Raw genomic sequence first — 25,298 nt, 5'->3', positions numbered from 1 at the left:
GTAACTTTATCTGGGGACCCTAACTGGGGCACATACAAAGATACAAATAAAACATGCTTCTTATCCTCAAAGACTTACACAGAAACGAGGGACATGAAATGTATACATAAACTACTATATAAGGAAGAAAAGTCGTCACTTAGCATTTAAAGAGGAAGGGGCAGAAAAGGCAAACTGAGAACATAGTAGTATGGTTGAAGAATGGTTAAAATTAACAAATCCAAGACTCAAAAGAGAAAAAAGAATTGAGATAAGAGTGCTTAATTACATCCTCAACTCTAGCCACACATCTATGTATTTACCACACATGATATTCTTCCACTATAGGAGGTGGCTCAGTAATACAAGTTCTTAAGTCATTTATCATTAATTCACACTCAATTTAAATAACTCCAAATGGACATGCATTAACAATCTTTTTTTTTTTTTTTTTGAGACAGAGTCTCACTCTGTTGCCCAGGCTGGAGTGCAACGTAGTGATCTCAGCTCACTTGCATTAGCAATCTCGATAGACATATACCAAAAAAAGTCAAATTCATTATTTTATGAACTATATCCCTCTCAAATCTACCTATTTTGTGCTTGATTACTAAAAATTCTTTTATTAAACAAATTCTATACTATGTGGATAGGACCAGTGAGAGACCAAAATCCTGGTAAGATTTCATCCCTTTCCTCACTTTCTATTGTCCCAAGCAGCTATTTCAAAAATCTGCCTCATAATTAACCAGCTTTGTTCTTGACAATCTTCAAATAAGTAGGCAGATCCTTTTTAACTGGATGCAAAAAACTACTTCACTTTACACTTTCTTCTCCAACCCTCTGCAGCTGTGTCCTTTCTGCAGGCCCAATTATCATTCTTCACAACACAGGCCAACCCCGATCCTGTTCCACAACAGGAAACTTCACATGTCCTTAGAGCTTCAACCTAATAAATACTAACACAGTATGCTGCAGGACCTATGTATAAAAAAAGGAGTAATAGGCCAGGTGCAGTGGCTCACACCTGTAATCCCAGCAGTTTGGGAGGCCAAGGTGGGCAGATCACGTGGTCAGGAGATCAAGACCATCCTGGCCAATATGGTGAAACCCCATCTCTACAAAAATACAAAAATTAGCTGGGCGTGGCAGTACATGACTGTAATCCCAGCTACTCAGGAGGCTGAGGCAGGAGAATCACTTGAACCTGATTCAAGAAGGCGGAGGTTGCAGTGAGCTGAGATCACAGCACTGCACTCCACCCTGGCAACAGAGCTAGACTACATCTCAAAAACAAGGAAAAAAAAAAAAAGTAGTAATGGAAAAAGCCTACCTACATCATTTATTCCCATTAACTCATTTATCATATACCTTCACACAATTCTACAGCTGAAAGGACTCCAGAGTTCATTTGGTCCACAGCCCTCCTTTCAAAGGTGCTGAAAATTCAGTCTTATAGTCATTTTGTGCCTAGACTAAATACACAGGGCAAGCAAAGATCCAGAGTCAGATTTTTAAATTTTCAGTTTTTTTCCTACTAAATTACACTATTATCTACATCTTTTGAGTGATACTCTCTGAATATTAATTCTGTTGTATATCTCTACTTCTTTTAGAAACTATAAAGGAATCTAAAAATTACTCAAACTATAATTTACTCATTGTTCCCTCATAATAGAGTAATCTAAAATTCAGTTTAAAAAAAAAAGTCAGGAGTTGGAGACCTGCCTGGCCAATATGGTGAAACCCCATCTCTACTAAAAATACAAAAATTAAGCAGGGCGTGGTGGTGCATGCCTGTAGTCCCAGCTACTTGGGAGGCTGAAGCAGGAGAATCACTTGGATCCAGGAGGCAGAGGTTGCAGTGAGCCGAGATCACGCCACTGCACTCCAGCCTGGGCAACAAAGCAAGACTCCGTCTCAACAACAACAACAAAAAAAACAAAAGGCAGATTCATCTTTCTTGTAGTTTGTATTTTTAACTGCATGAGGTAGGGTGACAAAAGTATTTGTACATCAAAACAGACAAAACTGACAAGTTCAAGGGAAGAGACATTGTCAGTATCAAATCTTAAAGACAGGCTGATTATTGTATCTTTTTAAAAAAACCCCTTTATTGAAAAACATTATATCTGTCTTAGTAAATACACAAATGCCACACACTCTAAGTGGATTTTTATTCTTTACTGTACTAGAATTTGAGAGGTAAAATAACCCTTATACTCAAAAGTTATCATTCTTATTTTCTTGTCCCTGTTAAAGGGCTGAAAGAATCTACAAGCTTATAAACACATGGGTGATTAGTTCACCAGTATTTCTATAATTTTGAAAATATTACTAGTAACAAACTTTTCAATGGTCTTACCTTTGTTGAAAGTACTTTAAACGTGCTCTGTTCTGGTATTATAGGATGAAGAAGTTCCAGTTTCAAATTGTAATCCTCTCCAGAAGGAAGTTTAACCAAAGCAGACAACTAATGAACACAAAATTAGCATCACATTTTGTAAATGTATATAATGGAGGGTAAAAAACCTACACAAAATAATGACAAATCTTCAATAATGTTACAAATTATTTTAAACATTATATATGGAATTTTAGATTTAAGAACCTCAAAAGGTTCTCAAAGATTTAAGAACCTTTTTTTTCCATCTGGTATCCTTGACATGAATTCTTATAGACATCATTAAACAGCAGAAAAGAATAAGTTTCATAATATTTGTCATATATTTAATCACACCTATTTGATATTTAGATTTCAAGAAAACATACAAAAGCAAAATGATATATAACAAAAAGTGATCCATGTGCAAAACATACAGTTCTATCACTACCTCTTTTAAATAATCTATTATAAGGTTCTCTACTAAATGGTAAGAAATCAAGTTGTTAAAAGTCATACTCAAGAGGCTGGGCACGGTGGTGCATGCCTCTAATCCCAGCACTTTGGGAGGCTGAGATGGGTAGATCACTTGAGGTCAGGAATTCGACAACAGCCTGGCCAACATGGTGAAACCCCGTTTCTACAAAAATTAGCCAGGCACGGTGGCATGTGCCTGTAGTCCCAACTACTCAGGAGGCTGAGGCAGGAGAATTGTTTGAACCCAGGAGGAGGAGGCTGCAGTGAGCCGAAATTGCGCCACTGCACTCCAGCCTACGCAAGAGCGAGACTCTGTCTCAAAAAACAACAACAAAAAAAGTCATACTCATTTAACATGGCTAGTCAATTCTAAGACATGTGTGATCACAAAACTAACTAGATCTTTTTCATGAAGTACACCACACAAGTATAACCAAAGCACATTATCTTACTAATATAACCAAATTCTGCTTTAAATTTCAAATCTAAAGAAAAAAATGCACATCCAGCTATAATTTACCAACATACATATTCTTACCTCAAAGCAATGGCTTCAGATTTTATTCAACATTTTCCAAATCATCTCAGGAAGAAATAGCATTTATCTGATAAACCGTTATCGATTATTCTGCAATATACTAAATTTGCAAATAATAGTAATCAACATTGAAAAATGATTCAGTCTACTGACCTCTTTTTCTGAAAATTCCACATTTACATCATTCTTCTGAACATTCTTGATCATAAGTGTAATGACTACTTGAGATTCTGTTTGATACCAGTCATACCTATTAAAAAAAAAAAAGAAACTTAGGTAACTCTTCTAATTTTTTTAAAGCTATTGTCAAAACAAAAACTAGTCTGATAAACAACAAGAGCCCCACCTGGAGGAAGAAAACAGCAAAGCAACTACTGATTCACAGAAACAACTTTATATAACTAGTTTTTTATGCTCTGTACTAATGGAAAAAAATGGTAAGGTAAATGATGCTCACACCTTTCCAGTAGACTTAAATACTTGCATGATTTTCTGGGTTCTGACTCATCTCTAGCACTGTTGTGCTTAAACTAATATAAATATTAAAGATGTCATTTATTTTAAACAAGCTAATATTTATATGCCATCAATAGAGTTTTTATACTCTCATTTCATCCAAATACTACAGATAAACACTTAAATCCCTATTTTACAGATGATAAAACTTAAGCTCAGAAAGGTGAAGCAATAAGCCTGAGTCAACACTCCAAGCTCTCAAAACTGATGTTGGAAGCAGATAGACTTGAGCACACAAAACAGGGGCAAATGAACTAAAATTAAAATCATATGAAGTTTAACTGTGTCAGGCACAACATCATATACAACACTTTCCTTCAATTTCAAGATACATGGAAAGACTAATGGGTCTAGATTCTAATTATGTGCATCTTTTGTACTGAAAGCTCTAGAAACGTAGGAATCCTCACTTTCAAATTAGACTAGATTAAAAGCTCTCTGAGGGCAGAGCTGTTTATCCTGTCGCTATTATATCCCTAGGACCAAGCACAGTGTCCGGTACACGTATATTAAGTTAGATGTGGGATTATTTTATGCTCTGAACACCTTAATTATTATTTCATGGTTATGTGCCCTACCCCTGCTGCTGCCACCAGGGCAAGTCAAAGTTCCTTATCTACTAGGTACTTGGAGTTTCATCCTGTATCTCCCCACAACTACCATGAATAGATGGTTTTTAACTTTTCCAGGCCATTTTAGGTAATTATATCCAAAACCACCTTGATTAAAGAAATGAACTTTAAGAGTCTCGGTTTCCCTTTGCAATTCAGTAAGGATGCAAAGCTCCAGATCAACGGCTTGTGTTTCTGTTACGGTCCTAAGAATACAAGCTGTACACAGGCTAATGAATAATTAAAAGTCAAAGACTTGCTAGTTGCTTATTCATTATTATAATTGCTGCCCTCAGCAATATTAACTTTCAACGCATACAGAATGTTCCTATGAAAAATTTGCTCCAAATATAAAAGGCAGGTTAAGTTACAATTCTGTTAGATCTACTACTAACTTGTTTACCTGTGTAGTAACATAAACTTAACTGGAAGAGACTCTCCTTAACATATGGAAAGGTAACATAATATGAAACCAAGTGAAGCAACTTTAAAGATGAGAAATGATTTGAATTTAACTGAAGTACAAATATTAATCCTTAAACAGCCTTAAAATTGGCTTTACATAAAGCTATTACACAATTTTAGAAAACAAACAAAAACTTAAAAATCACATGGTAAGAATTTGCTTACTATTAAACTACAGGGTTTCTTCCTCTTTAGGCATATTTATCATGCATTGTTTTATGAAAAAGAAACACTCACTTGATTTTTGACTGATGAGTCCACTGGGATGCAGATTGATTTTGGTAAGTTGAAAGAGAAAGATTTTTACAAGTCAGTTTAGCAACTGTATTATTAAAATGCATGTATTATTAATTTACCCAACACTGCAGTTATTTTGATATAAAATAACTACATGAAAATTTTCTTCAAAGACATAGTAACTGTAATTGTTAAATACCACTAGTTTTCGGAAAAAAATTAGAATGCTCAGCATTTAAAAAATCTTAGATTGAATTTCATAAAAGATTTTTGCTCTAAAATAACAGAACTTTAAATAACAGAAAACTTCTAAAGGCATGATTAGAAAAGGTTGCTTATATAAAATGGCCAGTTCTAAGATTCAGCAACTTCCTAAACTAAAATAACATTGTTTTAAAAATCGTTTTAAAGAAACAGAGTAATTAGCCAGGCTTGGTGGTGTACATCTGTAGTCCCAGCTACTTGGAAGGCTGAGGTGGGAAGATTGCTTGAGCCCAGGAGTTTGAAGCTCAAGTGCACTATGATGGCACCACTGCACTCCAGCCTGCATGACAGAGCAAGACCCTGTCAATTTCCAATTTTCTTTAACTTTTGTCTTAGCCTATCATAAAAAGCCCTACAAGTGATTCAAACTGTTGAACCTAAATAAATGCAATAAGGTTTTAGTAACGAAAAGATAAATGATCATCATGACCATATTAAAACACACGAAATCAACTTTAACCACACACTAAATTCATTAAAATAGGCCAATAATTTTCATGACTGGAAACTTCTATATTTATCAAAAAATGATTTTATTTCAGTGCCTAGAGGAACCAGCACTTAAATGGAATTGCTTAATATTTAAATATCAGACAGCTCATCCTGAGTCTTGTCTCAAATATATTTGGTAGCTGAAATTTAAAATAATAAAAACATGAAGAATGAAAACTTTGGACTTACCACCTCAGATTCTGAGCCTATTAAAACATAAAAAGGAAACATTTTCAGGGAACAGTGCATTTTTAAGCAAAGTTATTTGTATGATTTCTATAGCACAAACATACTGATTAAGCAAGCAAATTCTCCGTACCTTTCAACTAAAGAAAAGTGGTTTCATTTTGCATCCTGAATTCATTTTAGACTCCTTAGTAATTTCTTACTGATATACCATACAAGCAAATCCACCCAAATCCCCCTTTCAACATAAGAAGCTATGCAAAAACCAGTGTATCTTTGGAAGTCCACATCTAAGGAAACGTATACTATTTAAAAGAAATTATAAAGATAAAAACAAATTTGTTTAAACCAAAAAAATTTCAGATGTTTACTTCTTTTTAAATTGAAACAAATACCAAGGGAGACCCACATACCATTCTGAGCTTCTTGACACCTTTTAATCCAGACACTGAAATTAGCATCTGCACCTAGAAAGAAAAAACTGACTATAACATCACTCATCTGCACAACCTATAAATCAACAAATACTTACTGAATACCTACTACATCCCAGGCAGTGTTCTAGGCACTGGGGAGTCGGCAGCGAACAAAACCTGTCTTAACAGACCTTATCACCAACTCTACTATAGTTATAAATATACCAATAGTTTAACATTTAGTTGTTAATCATGAAACATTTTGATTTTTTAAAAATTTTAACTACAGTCAACCTTAATTTCACAGATACAAATAATCTGCATTTCCCCCAATCCCGCTGCTCTTAGAGAAGCTTCCTCACACACAGAACAAAATCAGATGTAAATCAGACTCCCAATATGCCATCAGTTAGGGTGGGGAGGAGGCTTGGTAACTGGGAGCTGAGTTGAGGTTCAAAAGCCGTTCCCAGCCCCAGCTTGCTCTTCAATGCAGATACCTATTCAGTCCACTATTCTCTCAGTGGCTTTATCTGTTACCATGCCTTTCCTACCAACACCAAGCATCTTTAAATTCCGTGAAGTTTTGTCCTATCTCCAAGTTACATGGCAGTCGAGAGGCTATAGGTGATGTATTATATATTTATAGATAACAGTGTAAATGTATGCATAAACAAATTATTCACTTCTGGAGACACAGAACAATGATTACATTTAAACAGTCACAGTGCATAGTAAGATATGTTAAAAGTATTAAAAGTACTCTAAATAAGAGCTTATTAATTCAAGTTAACTGCAGACAAGATAAATTTGAAAATCTTAAATTAAAAATTTCTTAACAAAAATTTCTACTTTACTAATTTATAAAAGAAATCCAACTATACCAGCATTAATAAAAAATTTAAATACACTCTCACACACACTGTATTCTAGAGAACTATTGTATCAAAATCTATTATATCAAAAAGATTTGAGTAACCTATTATTTTAAGTAATCAGTAACTAAAACCAAGCAATTTATCACACAAAGAGGGGAAAAGGTAACAATTCTTTACCCTGTCTGATAAAAATAGAAGCCTAAAAGTTTAACTTAACTTTTTCCCAGATTTTGGCCGGGCATGGTGGCTCATACCTGTAATCCCAGCACTTTGGGAGTCCAAGGCAGGTGGATCACTTGAGGTCAAGAGTTGGAGACCAGCCTGGCCAACACGATGAAACCCCGTCTCTACTAAAAATACAAAAATTAGCCAGGCTTGGTGGTGCATGCCTGTAGTCCCAGCTGCTCAGGAGGTTGAGGCAGGAGAATCACCTGAACTTGAGAGACAGAGAACTGCACTATGGCCTGGACAACACAGTGAGACTCAGTCTCAAAAAAAGAAACAAACAAACAAACAAACAAAAACAAAAAAAAACCCCAAAAAACAACAACAAAAAAAGTTTCCTGGATTTAAAGACAAATTTATTTTTAAGTAAAATATCCTCAACAGCAATTTTACCAAACAGGTCTTCCTCTGAAGGCCACCTCTGAAATAACTAAAGAATAAATGTCAATGGCATGATATTAAGATATTACTCAAGAAAATAATCTAGGGGCCAGACGCAGTGGCTCATGCCTGTAACCCCAGCACTTTCAGAGGCCGAGGCAGGCAGAACGCTTGAGTCCAGGAGTTCAAGACCAGCCTGGGCAACATGGCAAATCCCCATCTCTGCAAAAAATAAAATGCAAAAATTAGTCAGGTGTGGTGGCATGTGCCTGTAGCCCCAGTTACTCAGGAGGCTGAGGTGGGAGGATCACTTGAGCCCAAGAGGTGGAGGCTGCAGTGACCCAAGATCGCACCACTGCACTCCAGCCTGGGCGACAGAGCGAGACCTTCTCTCGCTAAAAAAAGAAAGAAAAATGAAAATGTAGAGAATGGTATGACTCATGTTTCTTCAGGATTTTCACATTAGGTACCAAGGCACTACATAACTTCACTCTAGAATTTGCTAAGAGTGCAGATGTCCTGTTTGCTGACTGAATAGGCCTACTATTCACATACCAAAACTGGGATAAGCAAGTTTGAGAATAAGCCTTATCACCCAGACCTCTCCTTTTTTAATTTGTAGCTTCCATTTGCATAATCAGTGCTAAAATCCTTTTTTCTGAATAGGTACACAACAGAAAGGCAAACATTCAAAACAGTACAGAGTAAGAATGTAACATAAAATACTAAGAGTGAAGTTTCTTAATTTCAGCACTACTGACATTTTGGACCATATACTTCTTTGTTAGGCAGAACTGTCCTGGGCATTATAGAATATTTAGTAGCACCCCTGGTTTATACTCATTAGATGTCAGTAGCACAACCCCCATCCACCATTCATGATTATCAAAAATCTCTTCAGACATTGCATAAAGTTTCCTGGGAAGCAAAACCGTTTCCAGTTAAGAACCACTTCTTTAGAGAACTGTGATAAAACTCTATCATAACATAAAGATAAAATGATAATACAAGTAGGATTATGTAGTCTCCAATTTTCTGAAATTACTCACAACCTCTTAGTATTTTTCAGATTTAAAAATTCTTGGCTCTCGGCTGGGTGCAGTGGCTCATGCCTGTAATCCCAGCACTTTGGGAGGCCGAGGAGGGTGGATCACAAGGTCAGGAGATTGAGACCATCCTGGCTAACATGGTGAAACCCCATCTCTACTAAAAATACAAAAAAATTGGCCGGGCGTGGTGGTGGTCGCCTGTAGTCCCAGCTACTCGGGGGGCTGAGGCAGAAGAATGGCGTGAACCCGGGAGGCAGAGCTTGCAGTGAGTCGAGATCGCGCCACTGCACTCCAGCCTGGGCGACAGAGTGAGACTCCGTCTCAAAAAAAAAAAAAAAAAAAAAAAAAAAAAAAATATATATATATATATATATATATATTCTTGACTCTCACAATTTCTATATGTCTAGATATCCACACCACTGTGATACTTTTCATATATTCCCTCAAGAATATAACATTAAAAGTCACAATACTCTCAAAACTGTGTTTCTTCTGTACCCTCTCATAATTTACCCAAACGTACACTTCACTTCTCCATAAAAACCTTTAATGTTAAGATTTCACATCTCAGCAATCTGAATAATTTAAAATGAACAGACTTCTGACCAAGGCAAATTAAACTTTCACTTCTCCATTAGAAAAAAACAAAGCCAGACTAAACAGAGAGAGCATGTTAGGTGTTTCCATAGTTTTTTTTACTTCTAATGGTGAAGTTCATCTATGATTTAAATGCCAAAAGGCTAATTTAATCGATTTTAAGTGATCTCATATCTGCAATCAATATGAAATATAATTTAGATGAGAAAAACAGGTATTGGGTTTCTACAATTAACTTGAAATTAACATTACCAAAATTCAGCTTTGGTATTTAAGACAGAAATAGATAAGTTTATTAAAGTATAATTTTTAATACTTACTATCTAATTTTTGTCCTTCTGTAAAAGTTTCTAGGGCAGCAGCATAGTTTTTTTCATGGTATTCACATATTCTGCATGAATATATTTAAAACAAATTAAGACACACAAAAAATCTGGAAAATACCTTCTTTCTAAATAAAAAACTTAGTATTTTCTACTGTTGAAAGAAAAAATTTATTTTAAGTGTATGTTAATAAACCTAGAGACTTTCTAATATACTGTTAAGATCTAGTACAATTCCTACTAAAATTCAATTTTAGAACTCACTTCAGAAGGAATCTGACTTTAATTGTACAGACTTGCTTACTCAAAAATATAATTATACAAAGGAATTAAAGAAGTTTCTTAAAGAATAGTTATACTTATCAACAGAAACAAGATGGGATATAAAGTATACAGATATAGCGCTTTCATAGCATTAAATGTAGCCTATTCAGCTTTGCTGAATAGGATGTTGTCCAGTCAATTAAATATAGTAAATTCCAAAAGATTGAAAAAAAAAAAAAAAAAAGCAATGTGAAATCTATCAGTTTCATCTATACCTTGCAAATACTTCAATCATCACTATTTTAAAATTTACTAAGTACAGATCTCCTATCACATACTTTGGTTAACAAAATAATAGAACTATAAGTTGTATTTAAAATTGAATCATATCTCTGCTATATAATGTATAAATACAGAATTTTACAACTTATATAAAGCTTGCAATGAACTCATTCAACAAATTAAATACCTACTATCTATACCAAGCTCAACAAGAAGAGTAGCTACTGCATACCCTTTTCTCAGCATAGCAGTGGAATTATTTGGATTGAGTTCTAGAGACTTCTTTGCATCAGCAACAGCAACTGTGTAGAAAAAGACGGGTTTTTAGTCAGTTATTTATAGATCCTAGCAAATACACACAACATATGAATCAGTTTTAGATTTCTAAGTTTTCAAGTTGGTAGAAATGCCAAATGGTTTTAAATTAGGAAAAGCTAATACAAGATAGAATTCAAATAAATATTACTCTTGTACCTTCCTTTTGGCTTAACATTTAGCTTCCTTCTTAAAGCTCTTCAATGAATACAGCTGTGTCACAAAATTCACCTCCTTGTCTCATTAACATTTTCTATGTAATTTTACTCAAGGTATTCAGTTTTTCCCTATTCAGAAGGTACAAAATACAGAAATACATTACTTTTTAAATACAGGTGGTCTTGTTATGTTGCCCAGGCTGGTCTTGAACTCCTGGGCTCAAATGATCCTCCTGCTTTGGTCTCCCAAAGTGTTGGGATTACAGGCGTGAGCCACCATGCCTGGCCACATTCTTTTTTATAAAAAAAATTTAAACGAGCATTTCATTTTAATAGTCTGTCAAATAGTAAATGTGATGCTATTTTTTATCAGCATACCCAATAACTATGAATGAAATCTGTATACATTCTCCACCCAATGAAGGAAAAAGCGACATCCATAAAATTTAAATGGGTGTTGCTCAACATGTCTGTCACATTTGAGCTACTTTACCTTGTATAAAAGACCAATTTAAAAATTCTCAAAGACAACTTTTAATTTGTCATGGGTAAAATGTATAAGTAACTTATTAAAAGGGGGCAATATACTTTATAAGAAACGTTACCACAGTAATTCCCAAGAAGAATGTGACAATAAGCTCTTTGACAATAATACTGTGCATCATCTGGTTTCTGTTCCAAAGCCTTAGTCAGCTCCTACAAAAACAAACATGTGGAGCGTCAGTAAAAGTTTGTAAGAAGCCATCAAATTCTAATTAAAACATAATTTTTAATCAAGTAACTTATTGTCAGAAGCTATTTGGAGGAAAGATAACACGGATATAATATTGGAGTTTTTCCTTATAAAAGGATCAATATCTCCCCCACTTCTCTTGCCCCTCCTCCCAAAAGTAGGCAATCTAATGTAGCATCTCTGTACCGTAAAGCTTTTAGTTCCTGGTCTATAGAACTTAATAAATGATCATTATTATCAGCTCATATATTCTGAAGAGTTTAATTGTTACACATTGACCATTACAGATTTCCTCCTACTAATTTGAAGAAGATTCAAACACCATATAGAATTTGAGATTCCTAGAAAATGTTAAGCTGTGCAATAAAAAAAGACCAGAAGTTAAATCTAGCACTCAGGGAGGTTAAGACAATCAATACATACACAATCAAGTGTACCTGGCCCTCTCCTAGCCTCTAACAATAGCACACAACTCTAATAAAACCCAACTAAATATTCTGTTCAAAGCCCAGATACAATCTAATAGATGGCTATGTCAACTACCAAGAGTTAACATTAGAGATTGAAACTTTTTTAACTTGTGCAGTCACAACATATAGGTGTGGTAGCTGGAAAAATAATGATGTAAGAGATTACACAATTAGGGAGATCAAAGACAAGTGCAGGAACACTTTTATTTTCTGCCAACTGCCTACAAACTCTAGGGATTTGGTAGTTTTCTTAAATGGTAAAATTATTTCAAGAGCCACATGTATCATTGACTTTGCTTTAACCTAGTAGTGTGACTCTCAGAAAGCAACATATACAGATGCTCCTCAACTCACATGGGGTTACAGTCAATCAACAGAAAGTAAGGCTCAAATCAAGAGAGCAAAGAAGCTGTAAGATGCTACTTTAAGGGCCTCACTTTGTAGCTTGCAGGCAGTTATAAGGAATTTGGACCTTACGTTTGATGGAAAGCCATGGAAAGTTCACTGTTAGTAAGGGGAACATGGTCCAATTTACTTTTTTTTAATGTCATTCTGGCTGCAGTATGGTAAATACATTATCAAATCAAGACTGGAAACGGAGACTTCTTAGGAAACTATTACATTAAGTCTAGGCTAGAAAAGGATGTTAGCCACAGAGGTGATGAAAAGAAATACGATTAAGTTGGAACATATTAGAAGCAGAGAGACTTGCTAATGGGTGAACATGTGGGATAAGAGAAACTGAAGATGACTCCAGGGTGTTGGGCTTGCCTAGATCTGTATGTGACATCCAGTAATCACTCAATGAAAAGTATTGATTTTTCTTCTTGCAGACTTTTTTCAGCCTTTTCCCCAGTCTCTACTTTGACTGCATCTCCTTTGCCATAGAATACAAAAATATTTGCCTCTCTAGTCTTAATCTTCTCAAAGTCACTAATAACCCCTTATAAAATCCAACTGATTCCTATCTGACTTGATCTCTCTGTGGCCCTTGACAATAATAACCAGGCCTTTCAGCTTACCATTCTGCTGCCTCTTAAAAACTAATGTTCTCCTTGGGCTCAGTACTTAAGACTTCTTCCCCTCTACAAACATTCTTTGATTCCTTAACTACTGGGGGGCTTCACATATGTGTTGATGCATGCTGATGACTCAAGTCTATCTTGAGCCTAGACAGTGGTCCTGGGCAACATCAGCATATAGTTTTCTCTAAACTTTACCTGAAATGTCCCAGAGGCAACTCATATACAAATATTCACAATCTAAAACTACTTTCTATCCTCAAACCTATTCCCCCATGCTGAAGGCAATCTTCTAAGTGCTATCATCCTAAGTGCTATCTAAATGAATGGCACCAGTTCCTACAACATTCCCCCAGCCAGAAACTCAGGAGACATCCCTTATATTCTAATCGTCACCAAGTCCGGTGCATTTTACATAAAACAACTCACCTCCATGCCCTCAATCACTGCCCTACATGCAAATATTCATCTTTGACCCGGTCTGCACTACCATCTTCCTGCTATCCACTATCCCTTGTGCCTCCTCCAATTCGCTATCTACTCTGCTTTTAAAGTAGGTTTTGTAATTCAGAAAATTTCATTTTCCTTCCTCCAAATTCTTGACGGATCTCCATAATCATATGATAAAACTGAAAACCCTGTGCTGGGATTTAATGCCTTTGATGGCCTGGCCTCACTGTCGCCTGGGCTGGAGTGCAATGGCGCGATCTCAGCTCACTGTAACCTCCACCTCCAGGGTTCAAGTGATTCTCCTGCCTCAGCCTCGCAGGTAGCTGATTACGGCTGCCCACCACCATGCCCGGCTAATTTTTTGTATTTTTAATAGAGACGGGGTTTCACCATGTTGGCCAGGCTGGTCTCGAATTCCTGACCTCGTGATCCGCCTGCCTCGGCCTCCCAGAGTGCTGGGACTATAGGCGTGAGCCACCGCGCCCGGCTGCACTTCTAATGAATTGCCAGGTGATGCTGATAATGCTGGTCCAAGAGCCATACATTAAAAACCAAGGTACTAATACTAGCCACATGACTATCCTAGGCAATTCTTCTCCTAGGTACATACAACCAAAAGAAATGCATGTGTTCACCAAAATACATGTACAAGAGTATTCACAGAAGCTTTTTGTTAGCTAATAACTAGAAATAACCCAGATGTCCACTGTTAGAATAAATTGCGCCGTACTTACGGCTATACAACATATATTTATACAATGGAATATTACACAGCAATGCGAAAGAACTACTACTTCACACAATATGAATGTATACTTATGTAATCATTAAAGCAAAAAGAGTGTCTACATTCAATAAAGCACCTACTGTATGATTCTGTTTATGAGTCAAGAACAAACAAAACTAACTGATGGTGATGGAGGTCAAAGCAGGAGTCAGCAGGACAGTAAGAAGAATTACTGGCTGAGAAGGCGCATTAAGGAGCATTATGAATGGAGATACTCTGTATCTTAATCTGGTGGTGTAAACATGTGAAAACTCATCAAACTATAGACTTAAAATCTGTGTTATTTACATAAATCATATATGCCTCCATAAAAATTTTTAAAGTAAAAGAAGATGGAAAGTGACAATAAAATTCATTATGTTAATACTGTTTAAAAGCAACTTTTATATAAACTGGATTCCCAAAGGAAGCACTAGGTCTAACACGACAATAACAAATGTAAATTAAAAGTCATAGCTGTCTAGCTAATACAAGAAATTATGGAGAAAAATTCTCAGTGCTTCCTGTAACATTATCCCCAAACTCATCCCAGAAGCCTTACTCCCAGTATCTAAAGGTCTATATATTTAGGTGTAAAAAACACACCTGGACCCTAAAAGGCCTTATAGGACCTGGCTCCTAGTTTCCTGTCCAACCTCTCTTAATCAAATGGGCCCTCTAATAAAAAGGGCCTTTTTGTTGCTTCACATACAGGCCAACTTCATTCCTACCTCAAGATCTGCACTGGCTCTTGGTCCTGCCTGGAATATTCTTTCCCCAGAGCTTCCAAGTTAATTCCCTTGTTCCTTCAAATCTCCACTCAAAGATCTCCTCAACGGAGGCTCTAGTACCATGTGGCACATTTCTTATAAAAGTCATAGCTAGAAAAGACGCTGTCTTGCCTCAAATTGTTAAACGTAACAGCAAAACAGGTTTCCTCTTTTCTGTGATTTAACGCAAAAACAAACAAAAACTCCTGGCTAAATTCTGTGACCCGCAGCATCATTTATCTTTAGGTTCTCCTTTAATTCTTATTATTTAACTCTTGATCTTTTACATTCCTTTACAGCTTTATGGTTTGCCTTCATTGCACACCTACAAAAAGTGATTTCTAGGTTAGCTGAGTATATAACCAAGACTTTAACCCACAGCAATCAGCGCCTTTGCACACAGCCACTCCAAAAAAAAATTTTGATGAATATACAAATGAGTGAATAATGAATTGTGATAAGACATCTGGAAAGTTTCAGGGACGTGAGGGAAAAGGGTTTTGCTCCAGTAGACTGACTTCATACCGACACTTTTACGTAAGAATGGCAAGAATTATTGTCAAACGAAAAAATTAACTTCATCGAGCCCAGAGTCCACTTCTCTAATCATAAATGTCATTAAAAAAAAAATCCTTTCAGCCAAACTACAAATGCCAACCATGCTCCCAAGAAATAGAGGAGGTTTTTCTCAGGAGCTGTAGGGAGTGGAAAGGGCAAGACAGGAGTCTGGGGTAACGCGGCTACCGTGTAACAGAGAAAAGAGACGGAGAATCTCAATACCGGAGCTGAGACGCAGCATCAACAAGAGCCTGGGTCCCTGTCCGGCGGTGCGGGGAGAAGGCGGGTCAGCGGGGACCCGAAGTGGCCCAGCTCCCCTAAGAAGAGTGGAGGAAGCAGAAATGGGCTCTCTCACCTCTAACGCCGCCTGGGGGTCCTCGTCGATTAGGGCATCCGAGAAGCTCTGGAAAAACCTGTCAGGAAAACAACGACTTCAGCAGGGCTCACTAGCCAAGGAAAGGGGGATAAAATAAATACCAAAGGGAAAGAAAAACATGCACCTCTGGGATGTTGCAGTTCCTGCTGCAGCCGCCGCCATCCCTCGTAGTCGCTGTTGCTGCCGCCGGAGCTGCTACTATCACGGTTACCACCTCCACCACCGCCCAAGGGGGAAACTTCTGGAGAAACACCAACCGAGCTTCCGTCCTAAATAGCCAGCGAGCAGCCACGCAGCGTGCTGCTAGGGGGACGGGAGGCGACACGCCGGCGCGGGGCCGGCTGGGACAGTGGAGGACCGATTCCTCCCAGCCGCACCCCGGCCCAGGACCCGCGCTCCCAGTCCCCGCCCCTCGCAGCCATGGTTACGGAGGCCTGGGGCGTACACGTTCTTCCTCCCTTCCACCGCGCCCACGCCAGCGGGCACTCCCACGGAGCTTTCAGTAGTACTTTAGAAGCACTTTTGTAACGTACTGTCATCCCTAAGGAACGTGTGGCGGTTAGGGGCGTTTGTATGTCTGTTAATAACGGAAGCTACTTCGAGCTCCCATTTTCCCTAGTTTTTATCATGGCTGCCACAGCTAGCCAAGCCCTTTCGCCTCCATTACGTCTTTAGCGGCTGCGTGGTCTCTTCCGGGAGCAGAGGCCCGGATGACGCGTGGATCCCCGCGATCTTTGGGCTGGGGATTCTAAACGACTGGGACTTGCCGGAAGTCATTCTGCACTAATAGCGGCAAAAAGCCTTCTGGTTCCTGGGGCGACGCGCCCGGCGGCCGTACTATTCACTTCCCCAGAACGCCACAGCCCAGGCTTTCTTCTTAGTGGGCTTCCCAGACCAAGAAGGGAAACCTTTCATCCGAAGGTACTGAGGGGAGGAAGGTGGCCTGAAGTTATCTCAGTGCCGCTTTGTTTCCCACCCCAGTCGGTCAGCCCTTCCTCAGCGCCCTTTAACCCTTGCAGATCGGATGGAGAAAGCTGCCAGCACGTTCTAGGGATGGGGGCAGATTGAGGAGCGGGAGGGAGTAGTCTTTGTCTAACTTTATACCAGTACCAAACTATGTTAATTTAATGTAGTTTTATAATAAATCTTTAAGTCCTGTAACTTATTCTCCCAAGATTGTTTTGGCTTATTCTACGGCCTTTGTATTTCTAGGTGAATTTTGGAATTAGCTTGTTAAAAAGGGGGGGGATTTTTTATTGGGCTCGCATTGAATCTATAGATCTGTTTGGGAAAACTAGTATCTTAACAACAAGTCCTTCAATCCATGAATATCATTCTTCCCCCACCATTTATTTAAGCGGTCTTTAATTTCTCCTGGCAATATTTTGTAGATTGCACATATATCTATATTTTAATGCAGCTGTGCTTGGATAGATTGCAGTATAGAGATCATATATATCTTTCATTAGATTTATTCTTGAGTATTTAGTGTTTTGTATACAATGTTAAATGGCATTTTGACTTTTTTATATTCTACTCGTAAGAATAAACAATATTGATTTTAACATACTGACCTTATATGCAAGCATCTTGCTAAGTTCCCTTGTTATTTGTAATACTCTGTAGATTCTTTCGGAATTTCTGTGATCAAAATCTTGCAATCCACGAATAAAGATGGTTTAACTTCTCTGTAACCTTTATACCTTTTATTTTTATTTATTTTTGCCTTTTGTTGCTGGCTAGTGTTTCCACTATTGAATAAAAACAGTGATAATGGACTTCCTTGTCTTGGTCATAACATCAGGAGGAAAGCATTGAATATCAACTGCTTTTTCTGCCTTTATTGAAATGTTCATTTGTATTTTTTAATGTTACTGTGAATTACCTTGGTTAGTTTTCAAATGTTATCTAAATGGCCAATTGTCCTTCTGGACCCCACTGACTCCAGTTGGGATGGCACTGTAAGAAGAGAGGCAGAGTCAGTGAAGGAGACAAGGTTTATTCAGGATTTACATACAAGGGTGGTCCGGTGGTGGAGGGCTGACCTGGAGAACTGCTACCATTTGTAAAAAGCACGTAGTCTATATAGCATTTTCACTTAGCACTCTCCTTCTAGCAACCTCCATTTAACCCCAAAGGGCCTTGATCTGTACAGCGTAAGATACGGGCCAGGGATGTGGATGTCCTTCATAGATAAGGAGTGAATCTCTGGGTTGGCTGCTCCTGGATTCCTTAGCCCAGGACTCCAAACGTAAGTTCTTCTTAGACCATAGGGTTAGTCTCAGGTATGCTCCGGTTATGGCTCAGCCATACACTAATGTGTGTACACCAGCCTCTGCCATGCACCAATACACATATATGTATGGCCTCTGAAAGGGTGAATTCCAAGACCGCCCTATGGGCCCAACATGAAAAGAAGTTCTATATATTATGGACATTGAAATCAATGAGATACCAAAACTACCACCAGAATGGCTTAAATTAAAAGGACTTCCAATACCAAGCACTGACAAGGATATGTAGCAACTGTATCTTTCATATATTGTTGGTGAGAGTTTAATCATTTTGGAAAACTGTGGTACCGTATGTCTGTTCTTGCATTGCTATAAATGAGACTAGGTAATTTATAAAGAAAAAATGTTTAATTCACTCATGGTTTTGCAGACTGTACGAGAAGCATAGCAGTTTCTACTTTTGCAGAGGCCTCAGGAAGCTTCCAATCACCGCACAAGGCAAAGGTAGAGCAGCCATCTTACATGGCAGGAGCAAGTAGGGTGGGGGTAGGTGCTACACATTTTTAAACAACCAGATCTCACAAGAATTCACTGTTGCAAGGACAGTACCAAGAGAGGTGGTACTTAACCATTCATGAGAAACCCACCCCTATGATCCAGTTACCTCCCACCAGGCCCCACCTCCGACATTGGGGATTGCAATTTGACATGTGATTTGGGTGGGGACACATATCCAAACTATATCAGACACTATCTACTAAAGCTAGTTATACACAGACCATAACCCAATAATTCTACCACTGGGCATATACCCAAGAGTATTTATTATTTATGATCATGTAGAAGAATATTCATTGCAGCATTACCCAAGGTAGCAAAAACTGGAAATAATCTAAATGTCCTTAAATAGGAGAAAAAAATATTACATAGCAATAGGAATGAACGACTACTACACACAACGATATGGATGAAGCTTATATACATAAGTTGTGGTAAAAAAAAAAAAAAGCCAGACGGAGTACATCATGATTGATTCCACTTAGATGAGAGGTATCATAAGGGAACCTCCTGGTTGTCAGGGAGGGTGGGGAACAGGAGCATGAAGAAATCTCGGATGCGGGAAATGTTACATATCTTGATCTGGCTGGTAATCACAGCAGTGTATTCAAACATAAAATTTTATCAAGTTATGCACAAGATTTGTGCAGGCTGGGTGCAGTGGCTCACGCCTGTAATCCCAACACTTTGGGAAGCCAAGGCAGAAAAATCACTTGAGCCCAGGAGTTCAAGACCAGCCTGGGCAAGATGGTGAGACCTCGTCTCTACAAAAAATAAATAAATAAAAAACATTAGCCAAGCATGGTGGCGCGTGCCTCAGCTACTTGGGAGGCTGAGGCAGGAGGATCGCTTGAGCCCAGGAGGTTGAGACTCTTATCGTGTTACTGCACTCCAGCCTACGTAACAGTGTGAGTCTCAACAACAACAACAAATTGTTCACTTTGATTTTGCAGATTCGTTTGAGGAGAAATGATATATTTCCCTTGTATTGCCTCTTCCAGTCCATGAACATAATTGCTTGTTTCATTCAGTTATTCGTATGTCTTTTAGTAAAGTTTTTATAATTTTCTCCATAAATTCTTGGCATCAGTTTATTGAAATCTTGGGAGGAAGGACAGACAAATGCTTAAGAAGTTATTAATAAATGTTTTCAGCCGGGCACAGTGGCTCACGCCTGTAATCCCAGCGCTTTGGGAGGCCGAGGCGGGCAGATCACCTGAGGTCAGGAGTTCGAGACCAGCCTGGCCAACTTGGTGAAACCTCATCTCTACTAAAAAATACAAAAATTAGCCGGGCATGGTGGCAGGCACCTTAATCCCAGCTACTTGGGAGGCAGAGGCAGGAGAATCGTTTGAATCCGGGAAGCAGAGGTTGCAGTGAGCCGAGATTGAGCCATTGCACTCAAGCCTGGAGGACAAGAGCGAGACTTATTGCAAAAAAAAAAAAAAAGTTAAAAAAAAAAGTTTTCATGTGCAAATGACACAACTAAATATACCAATGTACTTAGCTTTGGTAATTTAAAGAAGGGGAGGAGTAACCATGCTGGATTAAGTGGGCATTTATTGAAGGATAATTGATCTTCAAATTGAAGAGTGAAAATAGTCACTTATACTGTGTTACCTAACATTTTCCTAGGAAAGGGATCCTTTTCATTTAAAAGAGAAAACCATCCCAGTCTAACATTGAAGCCATCCTTAAGTGTATTACACTTGATAATTTCAAACTGAATCTAACAAAATCTCTTATTTGTGTCTTTTTCACAATAAAGCTTTCCCAAAGAGAAGTTTAAAAAAAAGAGAGAAAATTTTTAAAAGATTTGTACACTTTACCAAGTTTATACTTCAACAGAAAAAAGATTTAAAACAAAATCAGTAACAATCAAAATTTTAAATGCAAAGAGTCATGACATGTATAGTAACATCAAAATATTAAATACTGAAAAATAAATCTGACAAAAGATATGCAAGATGTGCACCGAAAACTAAAAAATATTGCAGCCAGGCGTGGTGGCTCACGTCTGTAATCCTGGCACTTTGGGAGGCCCAGGCGGGTGGATCACCTGAGGTCCAGGCTGGCCAATATGGCGAAACCCCATCTCTATTAAAAACACAAAACAAATTAGCTGGACGTGGTGGCGGGTGCTTGTAATCCCAGCTACTTGGGAGGCTGAGGCAGGAGAATTGCTTGAACCCGGGAGGCGGAGGTTGCAGTTAGCCGAGATTGCGCCATTGCACTCCAGCCTGGGTAATAGAGCAAGACTCTGTCTCAAAAAAAAAAAAAAACCCAACAATATTGCCGAGAGAAATTAAAGAAAACTAACAAATGGAGAGCTACTCCAAATTCATGAGTCAAGAAGACTCAATATTGTTGAGATCTCAGTTCTTCCAAGATTGACCTATAGACTCAACATGATCCCAATCAAAATCCCTAGTCAGGCATGGTGGCTCATGTCTAATCTCAGTTCTTGTTGGGGCTGAGGCAGGAGAATCGCTTAGAGGCAAGGAGTTGGAGACCAGCCTAGACAACAGAGACCCCATCTCTGAAATAAAGTACATTTAAAAATCCCAGAGCTGGCTGGGCGCGGTGGCTCACGCCTGTAATCCCAGCACTTTGGGAGGCCGAGGCAGGCGGATCACAAGGTCAGGAGATCGAGACCATCCTGGCTAACACAATCAAACCCTGTGTCTACTAAAAATACAAGAAAATTAGCCAGGCGTCATGGCAGGCACCTGTGGTCCCTGCTACTTGGGAGGCTGAGGCAGGAGAATGGCGTGAACCCGGGAGGAGGAGCTTGCAGTGAGCCGAGACTGCACCAATGCACTCCAGCCTGGGCGACAGAGCAAGACTCCGTCTCAAAAAAAAAAAAAAAAAAAAAAAAAAAAAAAAAAAAAAAAAAAATCCCAGAGCTTTTCCCTTTTAGAAGTTGACAAACTGATTCTAAAATTCAAATGGGGGAAAAATTCAAATGAAAATGCAAAGGACTTACAATAGCCAAATCAGCTTTGAAAAATAACAAAGTTGGAGAGATAACATTACTTCATCTCAAGACCTGTCAACCTTGTGGTATTGGCACAAAAATAGACAGATTAATGGAACAGAGAATCCATAAATAGACCCATACCATATGTAGACAGCTGATTTTTAACAAAGGTCCAAAGGTAATTCAGTGGAGAAAAAACAGTTGAAAAGGAGAGACTTTAAAACAGACTGGATATACATGTGCCAAAAAGTGAGTTTCAGTGTGTATCTTTGCACCATGTACAACAATTCACTCAAAATGGATTATGGGGCTACAACTCCTATAAAACTTCTAGAGGAAAGAAAATCTTTGTGATCTTGGGTTAGACAAAGATTTCTTAGCACACCAAAAGCATGATCCATAAAAGAAGAAATTTGTAAATTAGACTTCACCAAAATTTAAAAGATTCTACACTATGAAAATATTTGCAATCACATCTCTGATGAAGAGCTTGCATCCAGAATATATGAAGATGTCTCAAAACTCAGAAACTGTAAGTCAATAGGGAAATAGAAATTAAAACCACAACCATATGCCACTACACACCCATTTAAACGGCTAAAAGGAGAAAGACTGACCATGTTGGCAAGGATGTAGAGCAACTGGAAGACTCATACACCACTGGTAGGAATGTAAAAAGGCACAACCATAAAATGACTTAGACCACTGCTACACAATTAGCACCCAAGAGATATGAAATAACATGTTCATGCAATGTTTGTACAAAATGTCTGTGTCTGTTTATAGCAGTTTTAATGGTTAACAGTTGAAAACTGGAAACAACCCAAATGTACATCAATAGGTGAATGGATAAACAGTAGTACAGCTGGCCAGGTGCAGTGACTCATGACTGTAATCCCACACTTTGGGAGGCGGAGGCGGGTGGATCACCTGAGATCAGGAGTTTGAGACTAGCCTGGCCAACCCTGTCTCGTCTAAAAATACAAAAAAATGTGGCACGCACCTATATTCCCAGCTACTCAGGAGGCTGAGGCAGGAGAACCATTTGAATGCAGGAGGTGGAGGTTGCAGTGAGCCAGGATCACACCACTGCACTCCAGCCTGAGCGACAGAGCGAGACTCCATCTCAAAACAAACAAAAAACAACAGCAGTATAGCCAGTATAGCCATACAATGGAATACTGCTCAGCAATAAAAGGAATGAAGTATTGCTACACACTATAACATGGATGAATCTCAAAATTATGCTAAGTGAAAAAAATCAGACAAAAATAGTACATTTTGTATGATTCCATTTATATAAAATCCTGAAAAATTTTAAAACTCATCTGTATGACAATCAGTGGTTTACTGGGTGGGGGTGGGGGCTGGAGAGCAGGGTGGAATTTCAAGAATAAAAGGGGCATGAGGAAACATTGGGGTAATAGGTATGTTCACTATCTTGATTATGGTGATGATTTTACGAGTGTATACATATGTAACACTTCAAACTGTACACTTTAAATAATGTGCATGGTTTGCTTTATGTCAACTATAGCCCTATAAAGCTATTTTATTTTATTTTATTTTTTGAGATGGAGTCTTGCTCTGTTGCCCAGGCTGGAGTACAATGGCGTGATCTCGGCTCACTGTAAGCTCTGCCTCCCGGGTTCACACCATTCTCCTGCCTCAGCCTCCTGAGTAGCTGGGACTATAGGCACCCGCCACCACACCCAGCTAATTTTTTGTATTTTTAGTAGAGATGGGGTTTCACCTTGTTAACCAGGATGGTCTCGATCTCCTGACCTCATGATCCGCCCGCCTTGGCCTCCCAAAGTGCTGGGATTACAGACGTGAGCCACCGCGCCCGGCCTAAAGCTATTTTTTTAAAACACATTTAGAGCTATAGATAAGAATTGATAGTCATCAGCATATGGATGGTGGTAAGCAACATAAGAACATGAGCACAAGGAGGCCAGGCGCAGTAGCTCACACTTGTAATCCCATCACTTTGGGATGCCAAAGCAGGAGCATCCCTTGAGCCCAGGAGCTCGAGACCAGCCTGGGCAATATGGTAAAACACTTTCTCTACAAAATACATTAGCCAGATGTGGTGGTGCATGCCTGTAGTCCACTGAGTGTACTGAGGCTGAGGTGGGAGGATTGCTTGAGCCCAGGTCGAGGTTCAGTGAGCTGTTATCATGCCACTGCACTCCAACCTGGGCAACAGAGCGAGACCCTGTCTCAAAAAAGAAAGAAAAAAAAGGCAAGGAGAATATGTAGTTTTCTCACTTAATAAATATTGAATCCCTCCTATGTATAGATATGCGAGGGACTGGGGATACTAAAATGACTGCAATCTTGGTGCTTAATAATCTAGTGTTGGAATCACGCATATCAACAGGCAGTTATTATAGTGTCATATATGTCTAAATGGGAGAGATTAAAGGGGTTCTGTGAAAGCAGTCAGAAGATTTTGAAAGCTCAGAGTAAGTAATGTCTCAGCCAAAGCCTGAAGAACATATAGGAGGTAACCAGCATGAGATAACCTGTGCTGAGCAGAGTGGGCTTGAAATCAGATCTAGCGGAGTGATTTGGAAAGTACAGCTTCAGGGGTGTTTATTTGCAAAAGCCCCTTCAAACCCTATCTAATTTGTTAATATAATTTTGTACGTATTTTTCCTAAATAAATCCCCTCCCCACTCCCACAACCCCAACAAATTGTGTAAATTTTGGCCCCACAAAACCTGGATTTGTCCTTAAGTAGGTCTTTCTTTTGGGTTACTTAGAATTCAGCTCCTTCTTATGTCTGGGGAATTCCTTGAGTCTTCCCACTGAGCCAGTCTCCCTCTATAAAAGCTGAAAATGCCAAACAACTTAAGCTGAACTTGCACATACTTTAAAATTGGTAACTGGTTAGCAACAACAAATCAAGGAAGGACCTTAGTGTATCCTCTCCAGATGCAGTAGCACATGTGTCAAGATCAAATTCCCAAAGCAGCAGATAGTGTTACAAAGCAGTGTGTCAGTGCTTGGCAACAGTGGCTACAATCTCCTCACCCGACCAGTTATGCAGTATGGTTCCAGGATTTATTCCCAGCCGTGTGGCTCAGACTGATGCTGATTCTCTAGTCCTTTTGGCCATTCTGCAAGCAGCACAATATTCTTCTAATACAATTTATCTTATGCTGAAAACCAGAATCCATCTCTGTTGCTTACGACTAAGAATCCAAACTGATAGACAATTTGGTATTTGGAAGTGGAGTGCTACAAAACAGACCTAGAATGGTGTGTAATTGGCCGGGTGGAAAAGGCAGGATGGAGGGCATTGAGACACAACTGTTTCGGGCTGGGAAACTAGTGACT

General features: G+C 38.7%; 1 protein-coding gene and 1 long non-coding RNA gene across 7 annotated transcripts in view, besides 5 other annotated features; one reads left to right on the top strand and one right to left on the bottom strand.

Moving 5' to 3' along the window:
* The window catches only part of SUGT1 (SGT1 assembly cochaperone of MIS12 kinetochore complex), a 48,074-nt gene extending 31,646 nt beyond the window's left edge, over positions 1-16,428 (bottom strand). Inside the window, exons 1-11 of one of the 6 annotated variants that reach the window (NM_001320831.2) lie at positions 16,306-16,428; positions 16,161-16,218; positions 11,642-11,732; positions 11,038-11,165; positions 10,796-10,865; positions 10,015-10,085; positions 6,562-6,615; positions 6,152-6,168; positions 5,207-5,229; positions 3,531-3,627; positions 2,345-2,452 (exon numbers count right to left, since the gene is read on the bottom strand). In NM_001320831.2, the coding sequence (NP_001307760.1) occupies positions 2,345-2,452; positions 3,531-3,627; positions 5,207-5,229; positions 6,152-6,168; positions 6,562-6,615; positions 10,015-10,085; positions 10,796-10,865; positions 11,038-11,056 (459 nt within the window). In that variant the 5' untranslated portion in view covers positions 11,057-11,165; positions 11,642-11,732; positions 16,161-16,218; positions 16,306-16,428. Of the gene's footprint in view, positions 1-2,344; positions 2,453-3,530; positions 3,628-5,206; positions 5,230-6,151; positions 6,169-6,561; positions 6,616-7,693; positions 7,790-10,014; positions 10,086-10,795; positions 10,866-11,037; positions 11,166-11,641; positions 11,733-16,027; positions 16,114-16,160; positions 16,219-16,305 lie in introns of those variants that run through there. The other 5 variants (NM_001130912.3, XM_017020365.2, NM_006704.5 and 2 more) reach the window with 5 other exon arrangements.
* Positions 15,948-16,067: an enhancer, noted in NCBI's record as "active region_7795". NCBI's record gives its function as "activates an Ori minimal core promoter by ATAC-STARR-seq in GM12878 lymphoblastoid cells {active_cell/tissue: GM12878}" and the evidence as "EXISTENCE:reporter gene assay evidence [ECO:0000049][PMID:35858748]".
* Positions 16,177-16,678: an enhancer, noted in NCBI's record as "NANOG-H3K27ac-H3K4me1 hESC enhancer chr13:53226721-53227222 (GRCh37/hg19 assembly coordinates)". NCBI's record gives its function as "activates a minimal SCP1, AML or CMV promoter by ChIP-STARR-seq in primed H9 embryonic stem cells {active_cell/tissue: H9 hESC(primed)}" and the evidence as "EXISTENCE:reporter gene assay evidence [ECO:0000049][PMID:30033119]".
* Positions 16,177-16,697: a biological region, named in NCBI's record as "NANOG-H3K27ac-H3K4me1 hESC enhancer GRCh37_chr13:53226721-53227222".
* Positions 16,428-16,697: a silencer, noted in NCBI's record as "silent region_5388". NCBI's record gives its function as "represses an Ori minimal core promoter by ATAC-STARR-seq in GM12878 lymphoblastoid cells {active_cell/tissue: GM12878}" and the evidence as "EXISTENCE:reporter gene assay evidence [ECO:0000049][PMID:35858748]".
* Positions 16,788-17,127: an enhancer, noted in NCBI's record as "active region_7794". NCBI's record gives its function as "activates an Ori minimal core promoter by ATAC-STARR-seq in GM12878 lymphoblastoid cells {active_cell/tissue: GM12878}" and the evidence as "EXISTENCE:reporter gene assay evidence [ECO:0000049][PMID:35858748]".
* SUGT1-DT (SUGT1 divergent transcript) lies at positions 16,957-17,959 on the top strand. The gene has a single exon (NR_170300.1). It is a non-coding gene; the product is annotated as an SUGT1 divergent transcript (long non-coding RNA).

This window comes from Homo sapiens, chromosome 13 (genome assembly GCF_000001405.40).
Source record: "Homo sapiens chromosome 13, GRCh38.p14 Primary Assembly".
NCBI lineage: Eukaryota > Metazoa > Chordata > Mammalia > Primates > Hominidae > Homo > Homo sapiens.
Note: the sequence above shows the minus strand (reverse complement) of the source record. Positions and strands in the feature narration are given on the sequence as shown.